Source organism: Homo sapiens, chromosome 22 (assembly GCF_000001405.40).
Source record: "Homo sapiens chromosome 22, GRCh38.p14 Primary Assembly".
In the NCBI taxonomy this organism is placed as follows: Eukaryota; Metazoa; Chordata; class Mammalia; order Primates; family Hominidae; genus Homo; species Homo sapiens.
The window spans coordinates 37,807,490-37,828,428 of NC_000022.11; the positions used below are offsets into that span (position 1 = coordinate 37,807,490).

Below are 20,939 nucleotides of genomic sequence, written 5' to 3' on the forward strand. Positions count from 1 at the left end.
GCGGGCAGGCAGTGGGGACATCTGGGGCGTTTGCACCTGAGAATGGCGGGGGAGGGTTCAGGAGCTGGACAGAAGCCAGGAATCCTTAGTCCCGGAGGCTGCGGAACGTGCCTTAGCCGGCTTCTAGGCTTCTGCCTTTGGGGTCCAGAGGGTACCCCATTTCCGGCCGAGAGGTGAGTACGTGGGAATGCGGTGGGGAGTCTGGTGGGCTTGGCCCTGACGCGACTTCCTCCGCCCCCTTCCCTCCCCTCTGCCATCCGGACTTCGGCAGTCTCAACTTACAAGTCAAGCCTCTCGGTCCCTGGCGGATCCCGCCAGGCCCCGCCCACCCGTCCTAGGCCCGCCTCCCCGCCTTTTTAAGCGAGCCCCCCTAGCTCCGATTGGCTGCTGGAGCCCGGCCCCCGGCCACGCGACCAGGCTGCGTCCGCGATGCGCACGGCTCCCAGGCAGGCAGGCGCGCTCGGGCGAGGTAGGAGCGATGTGGCCTGGGAACGCCTGGCGCGCCGCACTCTTCTGGGTGCCCCGCGGCCGCCGCGCACAGTCAGCGCTGGCCCAGCTGCGTGGCATTCTGGAGGGGGAGCTGGAAGGCATCCGCGGAGCTGGCACTTGGAAGAGTGAGCGGGTCATCACGTCCCGTCAGGGGCCGCACATCCGCGTGGACGGCGTCTCCGGAGGTAACGCTCCGTTCCGGGAGTCGTTCCAAGACCTTTCCCGAGCTTGCGCTGGAATGGAGGTCCTGGAGGTGGGGGTGGGCGGCTCCTACACTCTTAGCTACTGTTCCCCTTCGCATCTCTCAGGGCGACTTTATGGCTTCCTAATATTGACTCTTGCCTGGTTAAACCCTTTTGACGGAGGGAGGCGATTTGCCCAGCAAGAAAACCCGCATTTCTTGAGCGGCTCCTTTGTGAAGGTCTCTACCAATTGTTGCTGCACGTGAACTCCTGCTAACTTCTAGACGCAGGAATGACTAATTCCACTTTACAAACGAAGAGGCTGAAATCCACAGATGTGAAATGGCTTGCCCAAAAGCCCCCAGCTAGCTGCAGGCAGCGCTGGAATATTGGAGCTGGAACATTGCCTGACTGGCCAGAGAGGACAGCTTGCTGGGTAAACTCATAGCAAGCAAGGGGTCCCAGGGCTGCCACAGAAATCACATGATGAGTTGGCCCTGCCAGGTCTCCCTCATTTCTTTCTTTCCTTTTTTTTTTCTGAGATGGAGTCTCGTCTTGCTCTGTCGCCCAGGCTGGAGTGCAGTGGCGAGATCTCGGTTCACTGCAACCTCTGCCTCCCGGGTTCAAGCGATTTTCATGCCTCAGCCTCCCAAGTAGCTGGGACTACAGGCACGTGCCAGCACACCCGGCTAATTTTTGTATTTTTAGTGGAGACTGGGTTTCACCATGTTGGCCAGGCTGGTCTCGAACTCCTGACCTCAAGTGATCCTCCCGCCTCAGCCTCCCAAAGTGTTGGGATTACAGGCGTGAGCCACCACTCCCAGCCCTCCCTCATTTCACTCTAACCAGTGGTTACACCTGACTTATTCGTGTCAGGCCTCAGGTGAGTGGTAATCATCAACAAGCTCCCAAAGCTGCCTTCTGCCCAGGAAATAGGCATAGAACCCTTGGTGCTGTTGCACTCATTTGTAAAACAGAGGTCCCAGGTAATCCCTTCTCTCCCTCAGGGGAAGCTTAGAGCCGGTCAAAAGATGGGAAATTAGGAGACCCAAGTTCTCATCCTGTTTTTGCCTTTCCCAGGCTGTGTGAACTTTCCCCTCTGGCTGTTTGCTCCTAAGGTCAGCTGTGTTCACTCTGGGCTTTAGAATTCGGGGACTGGTATCTCAGGCACCTACCTTTGGGGGTGTGATTCTGGCAGCAAAGTAAACTGTGGAGTTCCAGGACTGCAGCAGGCGTCTGATCCAGCCCTCTTCTTTAACCCTCAAGGAAACCAAGGGGTCAGATAAGGAGTCAGTGGTGGTCTTCAGGCACAGGAGAAGCCTGTGAGGAAGGGCTGAGTTCCTCCTTGGGTAGAATGTGATTCAAAGCCAGAGTTTAGGCTGGGCACAGTGGCTTGTGCCTGAAATCGTAGCACTTTGGGAGGCCAAGGCAGGAGGATTGCTTGAGGCTAGGAGTTCGAGACCAGCACGGACAACATAATGAGACCCCATCTCTACAAAAAATAAAAAAATTTAATCGGGCATGGTGGCACGCACCTGTAGTCCCAGCTACTCAGGAGGTTAAGTGGGAGGATTGCTTGAGCCTGGGAGGTTGGGGCTACAGTGAACCATGATTGCACCACTGTACTCCAACCTGGGCGACAGAGCTAGACCCTGTCTCAAAAAAAAAAAAGTTTAAACTTCTTGCTCTTCAAGATGTGTAGCACTGACGCTCCTTCTGTAGCTGTTGAATTTGGTGCCTCCTCAATGGTGACTCCAGGTCTGTTTCCTTTCTGGACCATTTCCCCAGGGCCTGGCACTGTCATCTTTCCAGGCCTGCCCTTGCCCCACCTGAGCTGCTGTATCCATCTCCTCTCCTTCACCTCAGGAATCCTTAACTTCTGTGCCAACAACTACCTGGGCCTGAGCAGCCACCCTGAGGTGATCCAGGCAGGTCTGCAGGCTCTGGAGGAGTTTGGAGCTGGCCTCAGCTCTGTCCGCTTTATCTGTGGAACCCAGGTACACAGTGAGTGGTGGGGGGTTGTGGGGACTGACCCCAGCTGCCTGCTTCCCACAGTCAGCAAGGCTGGTTTAGCCAGCTCAGCTCAGCCACAGCCCTGGGCCTACTGTTGGCCTCAGAGCTGTGCAGCAGAAAGGCTGAGTGCAGGCCTCTGTTTTGCTGAAAAGCTTTGGCCAAGGAACTTTATATATATATTTTTTCTTTTTGAGACAGAGTCTTGCTCTGTCACCCAGGCTGGAGTGCAGTGGCACAATCTTGGCTCCCTGTAACCTTCGCCTACCAGACTCAAGGGATTCTCCATGCCTCAGCCTCCTGAGTAGCTGCGATTACAGGCATGCTACCACACCCAGCTAATTTTTTTTTTTTTTTTTTTTTTGAGATGGAGTCTCGCTCTGTCGCTGAGGCTGGAGTGCGGTGGCATGATCTTGGCTACTGCAAGCTGCGCCTCCCAGGTTCACGCCATTCTCCTGCCTCAACCTCCCGAGTAGCTGGGACTACAGGCGCCTACCACCACTCCCGGCTAATTTTTTGTATTTTTAGTAGAGACGGGGTTTCACTGTGTTAGCCAGGATGGTCTCGATCTCCTGACCTCGTGATCCACCCACCTTGGCCTCCCAAAGTGCTGGGATTACAGGCGTGAGCCACCGCACTCGGCCTAATTTTTATATGTTTAGTAGAGATGGGGTTTCACCATGTTGGCCAGGCTGGTCTTGAACTCCTGGCCTCAAGTGATCTCCTCCACCTTGGCCTTCCAAAGTGGAAACTGCCTTTTTGAGCATTCATTTTCCCACCTGCAAAACAGAGTCCCTCACACCTGACCTTCTATAAGAAAAGAGGAGTAGGCGGCAGGAACTGAGACTAAGGGCTCTGGGGCTGTTCTGACGGGAGCACAGTTGCCAGTGCTGCCCTTTAGTGTCCCTGTTCCTGTGGGCAAGTATCTTAACTTTTCTCTGTCTCAATTACTTCATAGGGAAAATGAAGATAATAGCACTTAATAGGATCATTACAAATTAAAGACTTAATACATGTAATGCTTAGAATAGGCCGGGCGCAGTGGCTCATGCCTGTAATCCCAGCACTTTGGGAGGCTGATGCAGGCGGATCACCTGAGGTCAGGAGTTCAAGACCAGCCTGGCCAACATGGCGAAACCCTTTCTCTACAAAAATATAAAAATTAGCTGGCATGATGGTGGGTGCCTGTAATCGCAGCCACTTGGGAGGCTGAGGCAGGAGAATCGCTTGAACCTAGGAGGTGGAGGTTGCAGTGAGCTGAGATCACGCCACTGCACTCCAGCCTGAGCAACAGAGTGAGACTCTGTCTCAAAAAAAAAAAAAAAAAAAAAAAGCATAGAACAGCCTGGCACATAGTACTGCTCAATGAATGTTGGCTATTATTTATTTTCCAAATGTTACAAAATAAATTTATATAAGTATGAAACTTAAATAGTACTTATTATGTGCCAGGAATTCTTTTAAGAAAATTACAACTATTGGCCAGGCGTGGTGGCTTATGCCTGTAATCCAGGCACTTTGGGAGGCCGAGGTGGGTGGATTACTGAGTTCAAGACCAGCCTGGCCAACATGGTGAAACCCTGTCTGTGCTAAAAATACAAAAATTAGCTGGCCGGGCTCGCTTGAACCCATGAGGCAGGGGTTGCAGTGAGCCACGACGGTGCGACCACACTCCAGCCTGGGTGACAGAGGGAAACTCTGTCTCAAAAAAAAAAAAAAAAGAACATTACAAGTATTAACTCATTAATCCTAAGTGATAGTTGCTATTCTTATTCCCGCTATTGAGATGAGGACACTGAGATCCAGAGAGGTTAAGTGACTTGCCCAGAGGCACACAGCCTGTTGTGGGATTTGAACCCTGGCTCAAGAGTCCATGCTGGCTGGGCATGGTAGTTCACACCTGTAATCCCAATACTTTTGGAGCCCAAAGCAGAAGGATCACTTGATGCCTGGAGTTTGAGACCAGCCTGGGCAACATAGCAAGACCCTCTCTCTAAAAAAAAAAAAATGTTTTTAATTAGCTGGGTGTGGTGGTGCGCACCTGTAGTCCCAGCTACTAGGGAGGGGAGGCTGAGTTGGGAGGATCACTTGAGCCCAGGAGTTCAAGGCTACAGTAAGCTATGGTCTCACTACTGCACTCCAGCCTGAGTGACAGAGAATCCCTGTCTCATTTGCCAAAAAAAAGAAAGAGTCTGTGCTCCTGACTACTTGTGATTATCATTAACTGCCCTCTCAGAAAGGTGAGAGTGAAATGAATGTCAGAGGCAGAACTCCTGACTCGCATCCAGTCACTTCCCAGCAAAGCCCTCACCCAGACCCAACAGTTTTCAAATTTACAAATTAGAGGCCCAGGTGAACCCAGAATTACCTCTGTGATCTTTTTCTTCACCATTAGGCGACCAAAAAAGACACTCAGTATGGTGTTAGGAAGACACATCTTTCTTCTCCACGAGTGCCCGTAATTCCACCATTAGACTGCCACTGTAAAACCAAAGTCTGCCCAGGGAGGGAACCTAACAGGTCCCCAGTTCCTCAGTGGGAACTGTCTGTCAGATTCCTGGCAGCTCTGGGATAGCCCATGTGTGGCAGAAAGTAAGGAGACTGAGGCTGCAGGCTTTCTGGGTTGGGTCTCTGTGGTCCTCCAAGCCTCTGTCCCCTCGAACTTGTCCCACATGACCCCACAGGCATCAACACGTGTCTCACTCATTTTCTTCAGAGCATCCACAAGAATCTAGAAGCAAAAATAGCCCGCTTCCACCAGCGGGAGGATGCCATCCTCTATCCCAGCTGTTATGACGCCAACGCCGGCCTCTTTGAGGTGTGTGGAAGCTGTCCTGCGGGTGAGGGTTGGTGGGGCCTGTTAGGCTGAGGAAGGCTTGGGTGTGGGCAGTCGGGAGAACCTAGCAGGATTCAGTGCCATGCCTAGAGGCTCCAGAGCCCGCTTCTGGAGGTCAAGGTTGGGCCAGGTAGGTGCTCCAGGAGGAATCCTGGGGCTTGCAGGGAGCCTGAGTTCCAGAGCCTTTGGGGGATAAGCTACATCAGCTGGAAGGCTGGGGGAGGCGGGGGCCTGGTACTCACCAAATATATTCTCACCTCCTCTTACTAGAGCAGGGCGCTGGTCCAGCCCGGCACTGAGACACGGGGGCCCCAGAGAGAAGCACAGAACACCTTGCCTCTCTACCCAGAGGAGCGCCCTGGCTGGCAGTACAGTTTTTTGATTTGCTGGAGTCCCGGTCAAGGGAGAAGCCCAGGGTGGTTAAATGATGGCTCTACGCTCACTGCCTCCCTCCAGGCCCTGCTGACCCCAGAGGACGCAGTCCTGTCGGACGAGCTGAACCATGCCTCCATCATCGACGGCATCCGGCTGTGCAAGGCCCACAAGTACCGCTATCGCCACCTGGACATGGCCGACCTAGAAGCCAAGCTGCAGGAGGCCCAGGTGGGGCGACGCCTGGGTCCACCCTCAGCCTCCGCCTGGGGAAGGAAGTGAGGCTTAGAGAGGCCAACTCCTCACTCACAGAGATAGCCTGAAAGTTTGAAACAGCAGAGATTTGTCCAAGATGTGAACCCAGATCCCTCACACCCAGAGCATTATTCTTTTTTTTTTTTCCCTGAGACAGAGTTTCACTCTGTCGCCAAGGCTGGAGTATAGTGGTGTGATCTCGGCTCACTGCAACCTCCACCTCCTGGGTTCAAGTGATTCTCCTGCCTCAGCCTCCCAAGTAGCTGGGATTACAGGCATCCGCCACCCCACCTGGCTAATTTTTGTATTTTTAGTAAAGACGGGGTTTCATCATGTTGTCCAGGCTGGTCTCGAACTCCTGACCTCAGTTGATTTCACCCACCTAGGCCTCCCAAAGTGCTGGGATTATAGACGTGAGCCACTGTGCCTGGCACCAGAGCATTATTCCATTGTGCCATGGTGCCTTGAGGTTTTTCCCTGTGTATGTGTGACAGTCTCACTCTGTTGCCCAGGCTGTATTGCAATGGTGCAGTCATAGCTCACTGCAGCCTCAATCTTCTGGACTCGAGCGATCCTCCCACCTCAGTCTCCTGAGTAGCTGGGACTACCGGTGCCCACCACACCCAGTTTTTTATTTATTTGTTTTTTAGATGGAATTTCACTCTTTTTGCCCAGGCTGGAGTGCAATGGCGTGATCTCAGCTCACTGAAACCTCTGCCTCCCAGGTTCAATTGATTCTCCTGCCTCAGCCTCTGGAGTAGCTGGGATTACAGGCACACACCACCGTGCTCAGCTAATTTTCTATTTTTAGTAGAGATGGGGTTTAGCCATGTTGGCCAGGCTGGTTTCGAACTCCTGACCTCAGGTGATCTACCTGTCTCAGCCTCCCAAAGTGTTGGGATTACAGGCATGAGCCACCGCACCCAGCCTGTTTGTTTGTTTTTGAGACAGGGTCTCACTATAATGCTCAGGCTAGTCTTGAACTCCTGGGCTCCCAAAGTTACAGGCATGAGCCACCATACCCAGCCAGTTTTTAAAATTTTTAGTAGAGACAGGGTCTCACTATGTTGCCCAGGTGGGTCTCGAACCCGTAAGCTCCCAAAGTCCTGGGATTACAGGTGTGAGCCACTGTGCCCGGCCTGCCTTGAGTATTAGCAAGCACCTTCTGTGTGGCAGGCCCTTGCTAGGCATAAGGATAGAATGTACATGTTGGTGAGACCTGGTCCCAGCCTAGCCTGCCCTCTGGGACCTTACACAGGAGACTGAGATGTGAGCCCATTCTCACTGTCCAGAGCTCAGGGTGGAGATGGGTGACGCTGAGAGGCACAGATGAGGGAGAGGATGTTCCAGCCCCCAAGATGGTGGTACCTCTGTGCCCACCTCTGTGCTGGGCACTGGGCAGGATGAGCTCTCAGAGCTCCAAGCAGCACAAGAGACGGGTGGTTTGGCCCAACTTGACACCACCCACCATCTGCTCATGTCTTTCCTGCAGAAGCATCGGCTGCGCCTGGTGGCCACTGATGGGGCCTTTTCCATGGATGGCGACATCGCACCCCTGCAGGAGATCTGCTGCCTCGCCTCTAGATATGGTGCCCTGGTCTTCATGGATGAATGCCATGCCACTGGCTTCCTGGGGCCCACAGGACGGTGGGACCATGTGGCACCTGAGGCCTGGGGTGGGGCTTCTGAGGGTGGCTGGGAAACGAGGAGGCCAGTCCCCAGCATGATCCATAATCCCTGGGCTCTCAGGAGGCCAGTGACAGCAGCGGTGGCTTCCCTTGCAGGGGCACAGATGAGCTGCTGGGTGTGATGGACCAGGTCACCATCATCAACTCCACCCTGGGGAAGGCCCTGGGTGGAGCATCAGGTACCTGCAAGGTTGTGTCCCTGGGGTCCCCTTGTCCTTTTGAAGGGCCCTGGAGGGGCTCAGGGAAGTGGGGAGGGCAGCATGGACTGTACTTTCAGGAGGGGGTTGGGTAGGCTCTGGCCCCTGACCAACCCCTCCCCCCACCTCTTCCCTTCTTCTCAGGGGGCTACACGACAGGGCCTGGGCCCCTGGTGTCCCTGCTGCGGCAGCGCGCCCGGCCATACCTCTTCTCCAACAGTCTGCCACCTGCTGTCGTTGGCTGCGCCTCCAAGGCCCTAGATCTGCTGATGGGGAGTAACACCATTGTCCAGTCTATGGCTGCCAAGACCCAGAGGTGCGACTCCCAGCAGGGCAGGCTCGGGGGCGGAGAGACGTGGTGAGAGCCAGCCTCATGTGTCTGCCCAGGCCCACAGACAGCTCTGTGCCCACCGGGTCTGCTTCTGCCTGTTCCCCTCCCTTCTCTCTGTCCCTGCCTCTCCCCTCTAGCTTCTGTGTCTCCTTCTTATCCCTCCTGTCTTTCCACCTCCCTTGTTGTTCTCCCTGCCCCCTGCCTGGCTCCCCTCTGCCTCTTAGAGCTTGTAACTGTCTTTGTTGATCCTTCTTGCAGACTTGGGCATAGACCTCGGGCCTGGTCCCTGCAAGGAGCGGGTGTGAATGCTCCACGGCCCCTTAGCTACCTGTGACACCTTGTGCCCACAGGTTCCGTAGTAAGATGGAAGCTGCTGGCTTCACTATCTCGGGAGCCAGTCACCCCATCTGCCCTGTGATGCTGGGTGATGCCCGGCTGGCCTCTCGCATGGCGGATGACATGCTGAAGAGAGGTAAGGGTGCTGAGACAAGGGAACTGGTGGTGGGTCCTGAGAGAAGAGAAAGGGAAACCCCTAGACTGTGACCCAGCCCCGTACCCAGCCACGCTGCGGCCTCTTAGGCCAGCTGTCTGTCTAAGCTTGAACACCCCAAGCCATGAGGCAGTCCCGAATCTGAGACCTGGGGCAGTTCCCTTGCCCTCTGTGTTCTGCCCCCAAGCCTGTTGGTTCTGGCACGCCCTTGCTTTCTACCCTCCCAGGCATCTTTGTCATCGGGTTCAGCTACCCCGTGGTCCCCAAGGGCAAGGCCCGGATCCGGGTACAGATCTCAGCAGTGCATAGCGAGGAAGACATTGACCGCTGCGTGGAGGCCTTCGTGGAAGTGGGGCGACTGCACGGGGCACTGCCCTGAGCTCTGGGTAAGGACGAGAAGAGCCAAGGTCCGCCTACTGCCACAGGGTCAAAGGAGGTTTTCGATCAGCCCAGACCAGAGGCTCTGAGCCCTGAACCAAAGTCCCAGAGCTGGGCTGGGACGTGACCTGTGCTGAGGGCTGTGAGAATGTGAAACAACAGTGTGAAAATTGGCTGTGACACTCTGGTCTGCTTTATTGTCTCTGGGCAGGCCCAGTCCTGTGGCCGGTTGAAGAATCAGGCAGGAGCCAGGGCTCTGAGGGGAGGCGCCTGAGGACTGCAGATCTCCACTGACCTCTTTCCCTAGATTAAGATGGGACCCAGTGGCCGGGCACGGTGGCTCAGGCCTGTAATCCCAGCACTTTGGGAGGCCAAGGTAGGCGGATCACCTGAGGTCGGGAGTTTGAGACCAGCCTGACCAACATGGAGAAACCCCGTCTCTACTAAAAATACGAAATTAGCCAGGCGTGGTGGCGTATGCCTGTAATCCCAGCTGCTCAGGAGGCTGAGGCAGGAGAATCGCTTGAACCCGGGAGGTGGAGGTTGCGGTGAGCCGAGATCATGCCATTGCACTCCAGCCTGAGCAACAAGAGCAGAAGTCTGTCTCAAAAAAAAAAAAAAAAAAAAGCTGGCACCCAGGCCTTTGGGAGATAGGCCCAGTCCACCGTTTGTCTCGGGTAGTTTCTGTGCTGCTGTGGAGGGCTGCTGAGAACTAGCCCCACAGGCCTTTTACCCTGCCACTGCCCGCTACTCTGCAGCCCCTGAGTCTAGTCTTAGAGTCTAGCTTCTTCCTTCTCCCCACTGGAAGATGTCCTGTAGCTGCCCAGATAGGAGGAGGCTGGGTGTCCATGTTTGGAAGGAGAGGCAGAGGATTCAGGCCCAAAAGAAAAGAATGAGGATCACCCCTGGGGAAGCTCCAGACAGTCTGGAACCCTGTGTTCGCGCCCACTCTCTCCCTGCCTTACTCTGGCTTTCGGCAAGCTCCAGTCCCTGTGTGTGCCTCAGTCCTCCTGCCACTATGCCTTGAGGTCTGAGGTCCTTCCATCTCGCTCATTCCAAGGCCTACGATGATCAGCCACCAGGGGGTGCTGCGAGCACGGGCCGCGGCCGCCGGCTCGCCCCGCCCCTCCAGACTGGGGGCCTTGGGCCGCGGCTGTTCAGGCTGCCCAGCAGTCAAGGCCAGGAGAGGCGATTTGCTGCTGCCAAGGCCCCATCCTCCCTTGTGCCCCACAACGGCTCGCCGCTTTCCTGTTGGAGGGGCCTGCGGGAGGAGGGCGGTCTCTCCCTGGCGACCTTGTGGACCCCTTGTGGGGTGGGGAGTGGGGTCCCCGCAGCTCCACCCTCAGCGTGGTGTGACCTTGGGAAGCTCTTAGTTTGCTTGGGACAGAGGACGAAAAGGCCCTTTATCATTAACGACATGAAACTAGCCCTACGTCTCTCTCTGACGTCCTGCACCTCCAGCCCACCCATTTGCCTGTTATCTTGGGATGAACAATGTAATATGAGCTGGGCTCTGGCCCAGCCCTGCAGGATCTGAAAGCTGGGATTCAGGGAATCCCAGCCTGCGATCCGGAGGACCTTGCTGCTGGGGTCCAGGAGCTGGGGGAGGGGGGGTGTGGGGGGTCGGTGTGAGGGTGGAAGGCAGCCTGGCTGGGGTAGCTGTGGCCACATTAGCGGCAGGAACATTTGCAGCCCACCACCACCGGCTAGGGCACGTGGCACCAGGCGCGCTGCTGCAGGGGATGTGCACAAGGGCTCAACCAGTAATGTCGAGCCAGCAGCTGGATGAGCATGGTCTGCTCTAGCCAGCAGCTCATGTTAAGCGCCACGGGCAGCTGCGGGGTGACGTGTGGCAGTCGGTGTGCTGCACCCGGCGGGGCCAGAACAGAGGGCCCAGGTCCACCCAGACCGACGTGAGGCGGCACGAGGCGAGATCCAGACAGCGGCGCAGAAAGTGCGTCGCCGCCCCTGTGGCTCCCAGGAGCCGCCGCTGGCGTTGCCCTGCTGCGCTGGCAGCGCCGCGACCCCCTGGGCTAGCCGATCGCGGTAGGGCTCCACGCCGTTGGCCAACCCGCGGCTCAGCGTGTCCTGCTGCACCAGCCCGGGTCCGCCGCCGCGCTTCTTCCGCAGTCATCCAGAAGGTGTCTGTAGGAGGCGCAGCAGCCGCTCTGGGTGCACGTGTTTCGGCTTGGGCGCCTACCGGTAGTCGCCGGCCGCCCACGACAAGCTGTAGGGCCACGCGGGGCGGGAGGGCCGGCCGTGGACCAGCTGCAAGTCTGCGTTCTGCAGAATCAGAGGCTCTGAGGACCGCCCCAAGGGCGCAATGTCCTTGTTCTCTGCGTCGCGCACGGGGTTCAGGGCCGCGGGCTACCAGAAGCGGCAGTAGGAGTGGATGGAGGTGGCACCGGGCGCACCCAAGGTCTAGGCTCACGGCCGCGCTCTTTATGGCCGCCTGTTCCTTCCTCCTTCCCTCCACCTCCGCTCTCATATCAGCTTAGCCTTGCCGCTGCTGGGAGCTCATCGCCCTAGGCCAAGAAGGACCTTGTGGGCAGGGGGCTCCCAAGGGCCAGGAGTGCGAAGTCATGAATCTCAGATGCTTTCCAGCCCGTTCCAGGGTTCAGGCATGCACATTCGTCCAGGCTTCTGGGAGTCTAAGGGTGCGTTACTTTCACGCAGTGGTTGCAGGTCTGTCAAAGTTTCTAAAATCCCACCAAGCTGAGTCTCGCCATTCAGGGATCATAAGAGTCTACAATTCCTTTGCGCAATTCAATTCTGAATTCAATTCAGAATTAATTCAATTCTGGCCGGGCGCGGTGGCTCATGCCTGTAATCCCAGCACTTTGGGAGGCCGAGGCGGGCGGATCACGAGGTCAGGAGATCGAGACCATCCTGGCTAAAACGGTGAAACCCCGTCTCTACTAAAAATACAAAAACAAAACATTAGCCGGGTGTGGTGGGCGCCTGTAGTCCCAACTACTCGGGAGGCTGAGGTGGGAGAATGGCGTGAACCTGGGAGGCGGAGCTTGCACTTGCAGTGAGCTGAGATCGCACCACTGTACTCCAGCCTGGGCAACAGAGCGAGACTGTCTCAAAAATATATATATATATTAATTCAATTCTGAAGCTTCTGAATTCAGGTTTGGCAAGTCTAGATTAGATTCCTAATAGTTTCAATTCCGTGAGACTCTGCTTCCAAAAATTGAGGAATTTCTGCATCTAAAGAAGGTGACATCAGGCTCTATAGAGGCACCTCTGAGCCCTCGTGAAAACCCCGGGGCCTTTGAGGAGCTGGTTCTTTTCTTTTCTTTTTTTTTTTTTTTGAGTCTTGCTCTGTTGCCCAGGCTGGAGTGCAGTGGCACAGTCTCCGCTCACTGCAACCTCCGCCTCCCGGGCTCAAGCCATTCTCCTGCCTCGGTCTCCCAAGTAGCTGGGATTACAGGTGTGCACCACCATACCTGGCTAATTTTTAGTAGAGATGGGTTTCACCATGTTGGCCAGGCTGGTCTTGAACTCCTGACCTCAAGTGATCCAACTGCCTTGGCCTCCCAAAGTGCTAGGATTACAGACATGAGCCACCACGCCTGGCCTTAAGGAGCTAGTTCTGAGCATCTACCCCAGCTCCTCCGGCCTGGGATGCGAGTCCTGGCTCCATCAGCGCCCCTCACACTGTTTTCTCTCCCCTTACGCACTTCCCCTTGATGCTCCCCAACCCCAGCCCCAGCTTCTAAAAACACTACACTCAGCCCCTCCACCTCTCCCCTCCCTTCCTTAACTCACTGCAGACTGCCTTTTGCCCTCAAAACACCTGTCCAGTTTACCAGCAGCCTCCTCATTGCTGAATCCAGTGTACCTTGCTCCCCAGGTGCTAGCCTCCCTAACCCTCTGGAGGCATTTGGCCATGTGGCCCCTCCTCCACACAGTTCAGGACAGAACTCCATGACCAAATCACACAGCCGTTCACCAAGACCTATTCTCCTCTTTGGCTCTTGCCTAGACGAGAGGCTCCTAACAGGTCACTCATCAAATCTCTCCCACTCTGTCCATCCTTTTCACCCCGGGCAATAATAGACTTTTTTTTTTTTTTTTTTTTGAGACAGAGTCGCTCTGTTGCCCAGTCTGGAGTGCGAGCGATCTCGGCTCACTGCAACCACCACCTCCCAGGTTCAAGCGATTCTCGTGCCTCAGCCTCCTGAGTAGCTGGGATTATAGGTGTGAGCCACCATGCCCAGCTAATTTTTGTATTTTTAGTAGAGGCAGGGTTTTGCCATGTTGGCCAGTCTGGTCTCGAACTCTTGACCTCAGATGATCCGCCCACCTCAGCCTCCCAAAGTGCTAGGATTACAGGTGTGAGCCGCTGCGCCTGGCCCATAACAAACTTTTTACAAAAGATAATGTGGGGGGAAAAAAAGAAAGAAAGAAAGAAAATGTGCGGGTCATGTCTCTGCTGTAGAATCTTAGTAGTTCCCCGTTGCTATCAGGTAAAGCCAGACTTTTTGGACAGGTACCTAAACCATCTGGGCTCCAGCTGGACTAAGGCTCTGGAAAGAGCTTCCGGAGAAGGATCTCAGGATTTGCAGAGCCTGAGGGAGGAGTCTCTGGAGTCTGCCGAAAGGAGACTCAAGTCCTGGTTTCCCACTCCAGGAAACCCCAGTCAAGACTAGGAATCCTTTTTTTTTTTTTTTTTTTTTTTTTTTTTGAGACGGAATCTCGCTCTGTCGCCCAGGCTGGAGTGCAGTGGCACGATCTTGGCTCACTGCAACCTCCAACCCCTGGCTTCAAGCAATTCTCTGCCTCAGCCTCCCGAGCAGCTGGGATTACAGGTGCCCGCCACCACACCCAGCTAATTTTTGTATTTTTAGTAGACATGGGGTTTCATCATCTTGGCCAGGCTGGTCTTGAACTCCTGACCTCATGATCCACCTGTCTTGGCCTCCCAAAGTGCTGGGATTACAGGCATGAGCCACCGCGCCCAGCCTCTTCTTTTTTTTTTTTTTTTTTTTTTTGAGACAATGTCTCACTCCATCACCTGGGCTGGAGTGCAGTGGCGTCATCTCGGCTCATTGCAACCTCCACCTCCCAGGTTCAAGCGATTCTCCTGCCTCAGCCTCCAGAGTAGCTGGGATTACAGGCGCCCGCCACGACGCTCAGTTAATTTTTGTATTTTTAGTAGAGACAAGGTTTCGCCACATTGGCCAGGCTGGTCTCGAATTCCTGGCCTCAAGTGATCTGCCTGCCTCAGCCTCCCAAAGTGCTGGGATTACAGACGTGAGCCACCATGCCCGGCCTAGGAACCTTTTCTAAACATGGATTGGAGCAAGAAGGTGCAGGGATAGGGGATGGAGTCACATCAGGCTGGGCCACAGGAGGTGGGAGTGCCAGAGACTGGCTGGGCCCTGGGCACAGAGGGGTTAACTACAAAGCAAATCACAGAGAGCGAGATCAATGGGTTACTGGCTGCAGAGAGAGGAAAAGGCAGCAGCAACGCAGAGAGGCAGAGAAGAGCCAGGCAGAAGAGCCTGCCACCTGGGGGAAATCAGGGACTGAGGAGGAAGTGGCCAGTGGCTACTCCAGAGGGAGTGCCCAACTCCGGCTCAGCAGAGGGGGCAGAGGAGAGGAGGGGCCTTAAAGGCAAAGGGGGAGAAGTAGAAGGCAGACCAGTACCTGCAGGGAGGCACCAAGGGGCAGCCGCTGAATCAGGAGGCCCACCCAGCCCGGCCATTCCACCCAGGATCAAGCCCACTGCCCAAGGCGGAGGTGGGTGTTGCCCATCCTGGGCTTTGGGGACCTACTGCATGCTGGGTGCTGGGATGGGGGCAGACATTGCCTTTCTTCCCTACTCCCTGCCTGACCCCCCTTTCCCCTACTTTGTCCCACCACCCCAGTGGTCTCAAGCCTGCAAGGAGATCCACAGGCAGTAGGAGACATGGGCTGTAGAGTGGGATGGGGGTGAGCATGGGTGCGGTGTGCACACACACAAGTTGTCAGAGGCACCACCTGTTACAAGCTCTCAGATGAGCACTCTAGCTTAAGAGGCAGGATACCAGGGTGGCAACAGCCCCAGAGCTGCCATTTCGAGTGTGATATTATCCTCCCATGTCCCCTCTCTGGGCCTCAATTTCCCTATGTGCAGAGAGGAAGCAGTGACCTACACGGTCTTCCCAGTTTTGCCATTGTGATGATCTCACTATACTGGACCCTCCAATGACTCAGGGATGTTACCCGTGTTTTGCTAAGGCTACAGCTTGTAGCCAGAGAAAGCCCTAAACCCATGTCCCAGGGTCTCCCCTGAGCTTCAGATCCCCATTGAGAAGGAAAACATACCAGTTTCTGGGTTTGGCCCCTCCCCCCATCGCCATATCTTCATCCTACTTCGCTTGTGCCTTCCCCAGCCTCGTGGGTTGAAAGTGTCCCTCAAATACCTAGGTAGTCCTCCAGGCAGGACTCCAGGGGTGTTCCTTAGGAAACTGAGGAACTCTCACCCCTTGAACACCACGAGCTTGCTCACACAGTGACACTCAGCGATGACTTTGGCTCTGCTCTCCCCTCCTCCATCTCCCACGAGCTTCCAGCCCAGAACACCTGGCCAGACCCAGGTCGGGGGAGTTAGATCCCGGGGTCAAGCAACCAGAACTGGGGGCTCTTGCCTGAGGATTCCAGCTTCTCTTCCCAGGTGCCCGTCTGATGGGGAGATGGCTGATGCCCAGAACATTTCACTGGACAGCCCAGGGAGTGTGGGGGCCGTGGCAGTGCCTGTGGTCTTTGCCCTAATCTTCCTGCTGGGCACAGTGGGCAATGGGCTGGTGCTGGCAGTGCTCCTGCAGCCTGGCCCGAGTGCCTGGCAGGAGCCTGGCAGCACCACGGACCTGTTCATCCTCAACCTGGCGGTGGCTGACCTCTGCTTCATCCTGTGCTGCGTGCCCTTCCAGGCCACCATCTACACGCTGGATGCCTGGCTCTTTGGGGCCCTCGTCTGCAAGGCCGTGCACCTGCTCATCTACCTCACCATGTACGCCAGCAGCTTTACGCTGGCTGCTGTCTCCGTGGACAGGTGCGCTGTGCCTGGGGCCTGGCTGGGCAGGGCTGTGGGGGCGGGGGTTGGGGGAGGAGTCCTGAACAGATCCTCACTGGCCTTAGGAAGGAGAGAGTGGGGGACCAGAAAGGGAGGTGGGTGGGAGGAAACAAAAGCTCCCTGACCCCTCGCAAGCAGCCTCTGGGCACCTGCAGGGCGTGCTTGAGGGGACTGTCCTGCCCTTCCCCTCCTCCACTGTGAACTTCCAGAGGACGCCTCTGAGTCTCAAGTGGCAGCACAGGGTCTGGCACATAGTAAGTGCTCTGTAAGCGCGAAATGAATCGCAAAAGAAGCTCACGAATGCGTTCATCAGTTTTTTTGTTTTGTTTTGTTTTGTTGTTTTTTTTTTTTGGATCTTGGCTCACTGCAACCTCTGCCTCCTGGGTTCCAGCGATTCTCCTGCCACAGCCTCCTGAGTAGCTGGGATTACAGGCCACCACACCTGGCTAATTTTTTGTATTTTTAGTAGAAACGGGGTTTTGCCATGTTGGACAGGCTGGTCTCGAACCCCTGACCTCAAGTGATCCGCCCGCCTCGGCCTCCCAAGTGCTGGGATTACAGGCGTGAGCCACCGCGCCCAGCCCAGCTATTTTCTAACTGCCCACACCTGGCCAAGCTGTGCACACATCTGCTTCCACAGCTTGAAACTTGGGGTCAAATCCAGGCTCACTCCAGCTGATGACCCTGGGCAAGTCACTTCTCTCTGGACCTCATCTGACGCATCCATAAAATAATCCTAGAAATAACAAGTCACCGGGATCGGGCCCTTGCTAGGTGCAAGGGCCTAAGCACCTTGCGCGTTCACACCCTTAATCCCCGCCACGTCCCCCACGGTTCACAGGAGGCGCACTGGGCCGCAGGGCCCGGGCGCGGGACGTGGCGCGGGCCCCTGCGGGAGGGCACCTGCCCGCCCCGCTGACCAGGCGCCCTCCGCAGGTACCTGGCCGTGCGGCACCCGCTGCGCTCGCGCGCCCTGCGCACGCCGCGTAACGCCCGCGCCGCAGTGGGGCTGGTGTGGCTGCTGGCGGCGCTCTTCTCGGCGCCCTACCTCAGCTACTACGGCACCGTGCGCTACGGCGCGCTGGAGCTCTGCGTGCCCGCCTGGGAGGACGCGCGCCGCCGCGCCCTGGACGTGGCCACCTTCGCTGCCGGCTACCTGCTGCCCGTGGCTGTGGTGAGCCTGGCCTACGGGCGCACGCTGCGCTTCCTGTGGGCCGCCGTGGGTCCCGCGGGCGCGGCGGCGGCCGAGGCGCGGCGGAGGGCGACGGGCCGCGCGGGGCGCGCCATGCTGGCGGTGGCCGCGCTCTACGCGCTCTGCTGGGGTCCGCACCACGCGCTCATCCTGTGCTTCTGGTACGGCCGCTTCGCCTTCAGCCCGGCCACCTACGCCTGCCGCCTGGCCTCACACTGCCTGGCCTACGCCAACTCCTGCCTCAACCCGCTCGTCTACGCGCTCGCCTCGCGCCACTTCCGCGCGCGCTTCCGCCGCCTGTGGCCGTGCGGCCGCCGACGCCGCCACCGTGCCCGCCGCGCCTTGCGTCGCGTCCGCCCCGCGTCCTCGGGCCCACCCGGCTGCCCCGGAGACGCCCGGCCTAGCGGGAGGCTGCTGGCTGGTGGCGGCCAGGGCCCGGAGCCCAGGGAGGGACCCGTCCACGGCGGAGAGGCTGCCCGAGGACCGGAATAAACCCTGCCGCCTGGACTCCGCCTGTGTCCGTCTGTCTCACTCCCGTTCTCCGAAGGCGGGACGCCACCGGGCCAGGGATGGGGCAATGCCACGAGCTCTCTGAGGGGCGTTGAGTGGAGCGACTTGTCCCCGCTCCACAGCGGAGCACCAGCCCAGTGGACACCCCTGGGTGTGAATATGAACAGCACAGCCCGCCCCCAGCAGGGCAGCCCCCAGAGCCTGCCCAGAGCCAGCCTGGCAGTCCCTCTGCCCATTCTTCCAACTGGGTGACACCTAGGCCCTGCTTCCTCCACCACCTCTTAACTATCTCCTTCTTGGTTCCAAGCTCAGTCCTAGGTAATTTAACATCAACAGCTAATAAATGGCTAATATTTAAGTGGGACCAGGCGCTTGGCTCATGCCTGTAATCTCAGCGTTTTGGGAGGTCGAGGCGGGAGGATCGCTTGAGGCAGCAGTTCAAGGCTGCAGTGAGCCATGATCACGCTACTGCATTCCAGCCTAGACAGCAAAGCAAGACCTTGTCTCTAAAAACATTTATTAAGCAGGTACCATATGCCTCATGCTACATTCTTTGTCAAAACAGCTTTGCAAATAGATATGATTAACCTTTCCTTTTTTTTTTTTTTTTTTTTTGTCTTTTAGAGACAGAGTTTTGTCTCCCAGGTTGGACTACAGTGGCGCCATCTCGGCTCACTGCAACCTCCGTCCCCCGGGTTCAAGCAATTCTCCTGCCTCAGCCTCCAGAGTAGCTGGGATTACAGGCGCCCACCACCACATCCGACTAATTTTTTTTTTTAATAGAGATGGGGTTTCACCATTTTGGACAGGCTGGTCTTGAACTCCTGACCGCAGATGATCCGTCCGCCTCGGCCTCCCAAAGTGCTGGGATAACAGGCGTGAACCACTGTGCCCGGCTGTTTAGCCCCATTTTACAGATGTAGAAATCAAGGATCATAGAGATTTAGTGATTTGCCACACCGCTGGTGTTTGGCAGAGGTTGGATACAAACCCATGGCTGTGTAACTTTTTCTTTTTTTTTCTATTATTATTATTATTATTATTTTTGAGAGAGAGAGAGAGATTGTTATCCAGGCTGCAGTGCAGTGGCACAATCTTGGCTCAAGACAACCTCCGCCTCCCAGGTTCAAGCGATTCTCCTGCCTCAGCCTCCCGACTAGCTGCAACTATAGGCGTATGCCACCACACCCGGCTAATTTTTGTATTTTTTTATTATTTTTATTTTTTGGTAGAGATGGGGTTTCACCGTGTTGGCCAGGCTGGTCTTGAACTCCTGACCTCAAGCGATCCGCCGGCATTGGCCTCCCAAAGTGCTGGGATTACAGGCGTGAGCCACCGCGCCCGGCCCAGAGGTAACATTTGACATGTATTTTCTTGGACAAAGGTGGGGAGGGGCATGCCAGGTAGAGCAACAGCCTGTGCAAGGCAGGGGACGTGCAGGGCAGTAAGTGGCTCCTGCAGCTGAGGCAGGGAGAGATTGGGGCAGGGGAGGCCTGGAGGGCAGGAGCTTCATCCTTCAGGCAGATGGTGATGCCACTGAAGGTTTTCAGGAGAGGAGGGGGCCTATCAGATGTGCAGTTCAGAAAGCTCCCAGGGCTGCTGTGTACAAGCTGGAATGGAGGCCTAGACTTGGCAGAGGACTCCGATCAGGTGGGTTCTCCTGGGCCCTTCTTGGAAGTGAGGAGACTGGTAAAGAGTCTGCTCCGTGAGCTCTGTTGAGGAAAGCCAACGAGGCCTGGCCTAGGACTGGGAAGATATTTTTGCCGTGGACTTGGCAGGAAGATGGATGGCCTGCTGCCAGGCTTGGGCTTGGTTCCCGAGGCTCCGAGGTTTGCTTCAGGGGGCTAATGAAACACTTGGAAGAGCAGATGGTCGTAATAATAATAACTCAGGAGAGAATTGTGTGTCCAGTAGAGCCCAAGGCAGGCAAGAGGGTCGGAGCGGAGGCTGAATTGAGTCCTGGCCACTGCTCCCCAGGGCCTGAGAGAACCCTCCTGATCTGAGCCCTCTGTCAAGTGTAGGGCTGAGCCTGGGGCAGCCCTGGGGACCTGGAAAGGCACTTTTCTTAGTTGGAAGGAGGTTTGGATTCTACAACCTTCTTACCTTCCTGTTTGTGCAAACCTCTTAAGAAGAGGCCTGGCCGGATCACGAGGTCAGGAGATCGAGACCATCCTGGCTAACACAGTGAAACACCATATCTACTAAAAATACAAAAAATTAGCTGGGCGTGGTGGCAGGTGCCTGTAGTCCCAGCTACTCGGGAGGCTGAGACAGGAAAATGGCGTGAACCCGGGAGACAGAGCTTCCAGTGAGCCGAGATCACGCCACTGCACTCCAGCCTGGGGGACAGAGCGAGACTCCGTCTCAAAAAAAAAAAAAAATTACTCTTTAGGGGGCCTGGCGCAGTAGCTCACGCCTGTAATCCTAGCACTTTGGGAGGCTGAGACGGGTGGATACTAGGTCAGGAGTTCAAGACCAGCTTGGCCAAGATGCTGAAACCCCATCTCTACTAAAAATACAAAAAAAAAATTGGTCGGCCTTGGTGGTACACACCTGTAATCCCAGCTACTCGGGAGGCTGAGGCAGGAGAATCGCTTGAACCCAGGCAGCAGAGGTTGCAGTGAGCCAAGATCGCGCCACTGCACTCCAGCCTGGGTGACAGAGCAAGACTCTGTCTCAAAAAAGAAAAAAAAGATTTACTCTTTAGGGAGCTCTTTCTGGCTGCCCAGGCAGGCTTTCATAGGGAGGAAGTACAGAGTGTGCTGACTGGAGCAGAGAGGTCAGTCAGGAGGCTCGTGTGAGAATCCAGAGAGAAAGACATAGAGGTATTGGAAGTGGTGGGGAGACATGGACAGATGGGTCAGCCACTTAGGAGGTACAATTGCTAGGACTTGGTGACTGTTGGAGGGTAAGGAGGAGAGACGTGTCCCAGATGACACC

The 20,939-nt window shown here is 56.1% G+C and overlaps 2 protein-coding genes across 13 annotated transcripts, besides 3 other annotated features; both read left to right on the forward strand.

The window, feature by feature from the left end:
• Window positions 260–549: a silencer, noted in NCBI's record as "silent region_13700". NCBI's record gives its function as "represses an Ori minimal core promoter by ATAC-STARR-seq in GM12878 lymphoblastoid cells {active_cell/tissue: GM12878}" and the evidence as "EXISTENCE:reporter gene assay evidence [ECO:0000049][PMID:35858748]".
• GCAT (glycine C-acetyltransferase) lies at window positions 445–9,694 on the forward strand. Of its 12 annotated transcripts, none has more exons than NM_001171690.2 (10): window positions 445–674; window positions 2,460–2,668; window positions 5,398–5,499; window positions 5,974–6,120; window positions 7,637–7,791; window positions 7,929–8,011; window positions 8,174–8,345; window positions 8,711–8,832; window positions 9,078–9,236; window positions 9,440–9,694. In NM_001171690.2, the coding sequence occupies exons 1-9, from the start codon at window positions 479–481 to the stop codon at window positions 9,227–9,229; spliced, it is 1,338 nt and encodes a 445-aa protein (NP_001165161.1). In that variant the 5' UTR covers window positions 445–478; the 3' UTR covers window positions 9,230–9,236; window positions 9,440–9,694. The 12 variants fall into 12 exon arrangements, with proteins under 12 accessions (NP_001165161.1, XP_016884166.1, XP_016884163.1 ...); XM_017028677.3 differs by having other exon boundaries at window positions 2,538–2,668; XM_017028674.3 differs by lacking the exon at window positions 9,440–9,694 and having other exon boundaries at window positions 5,788–6,120; window positions 8,174–8,387; window positions 9,078–9,408.
• Window positions 10,215–10,434: a silencer, noted in NCBI's record as "silent region_13701". NCBI's record gives its function as "represses an Ori minimal core promoter by ATAC-STARR-seq in GM12878 lymphoblastoid cells {active_cell/tissue: GM12878}" and the evidence as "EXISTENCE:reporter gene assay evidence [ECO:0000049][PMID:35858748]".
• Window positions 11,603–12,154: an enhancer, noted in NCBI's record as "H3K4me1 hESC enhancer chr22:38215099-38215650 (GRCh37/hg19 assembly coordinates)". NCBI's record gives its function as "activates a minimal SCP1, AML or CMV promoter by ChIP-STARR-seq in naive H9 embryonic stem cells {active_cell/tissue: H9 hESC(naive)}" and the evidence as "EXISTENCE:reporter gene assay evidence [ECO:0000049][PMID:30033119]".
• GALR3 (galanin receptor 3) lies at window positions 15,893–17,996 on the forward strand. Its single transcript, NM_003614.2, has 2 exons — window positions 15,893–16,276; window positions 17,234–17,996. The coding sequence occupies exons 1-2, from the start codon at window positions 15,918–15,920 to the stop codon at window positions 17,979–17,981; spliced, it is 1,107 nt and encodes a 368-aa protein (NP_003605.1). The 5' UTR covers window positions 15,893–15,917; the 3' UTR covers window positions 17,982–17,996.
• The last annotated feature ends 2,943 nt before the right edge of the window (window positions 17,997–20,939 follow it).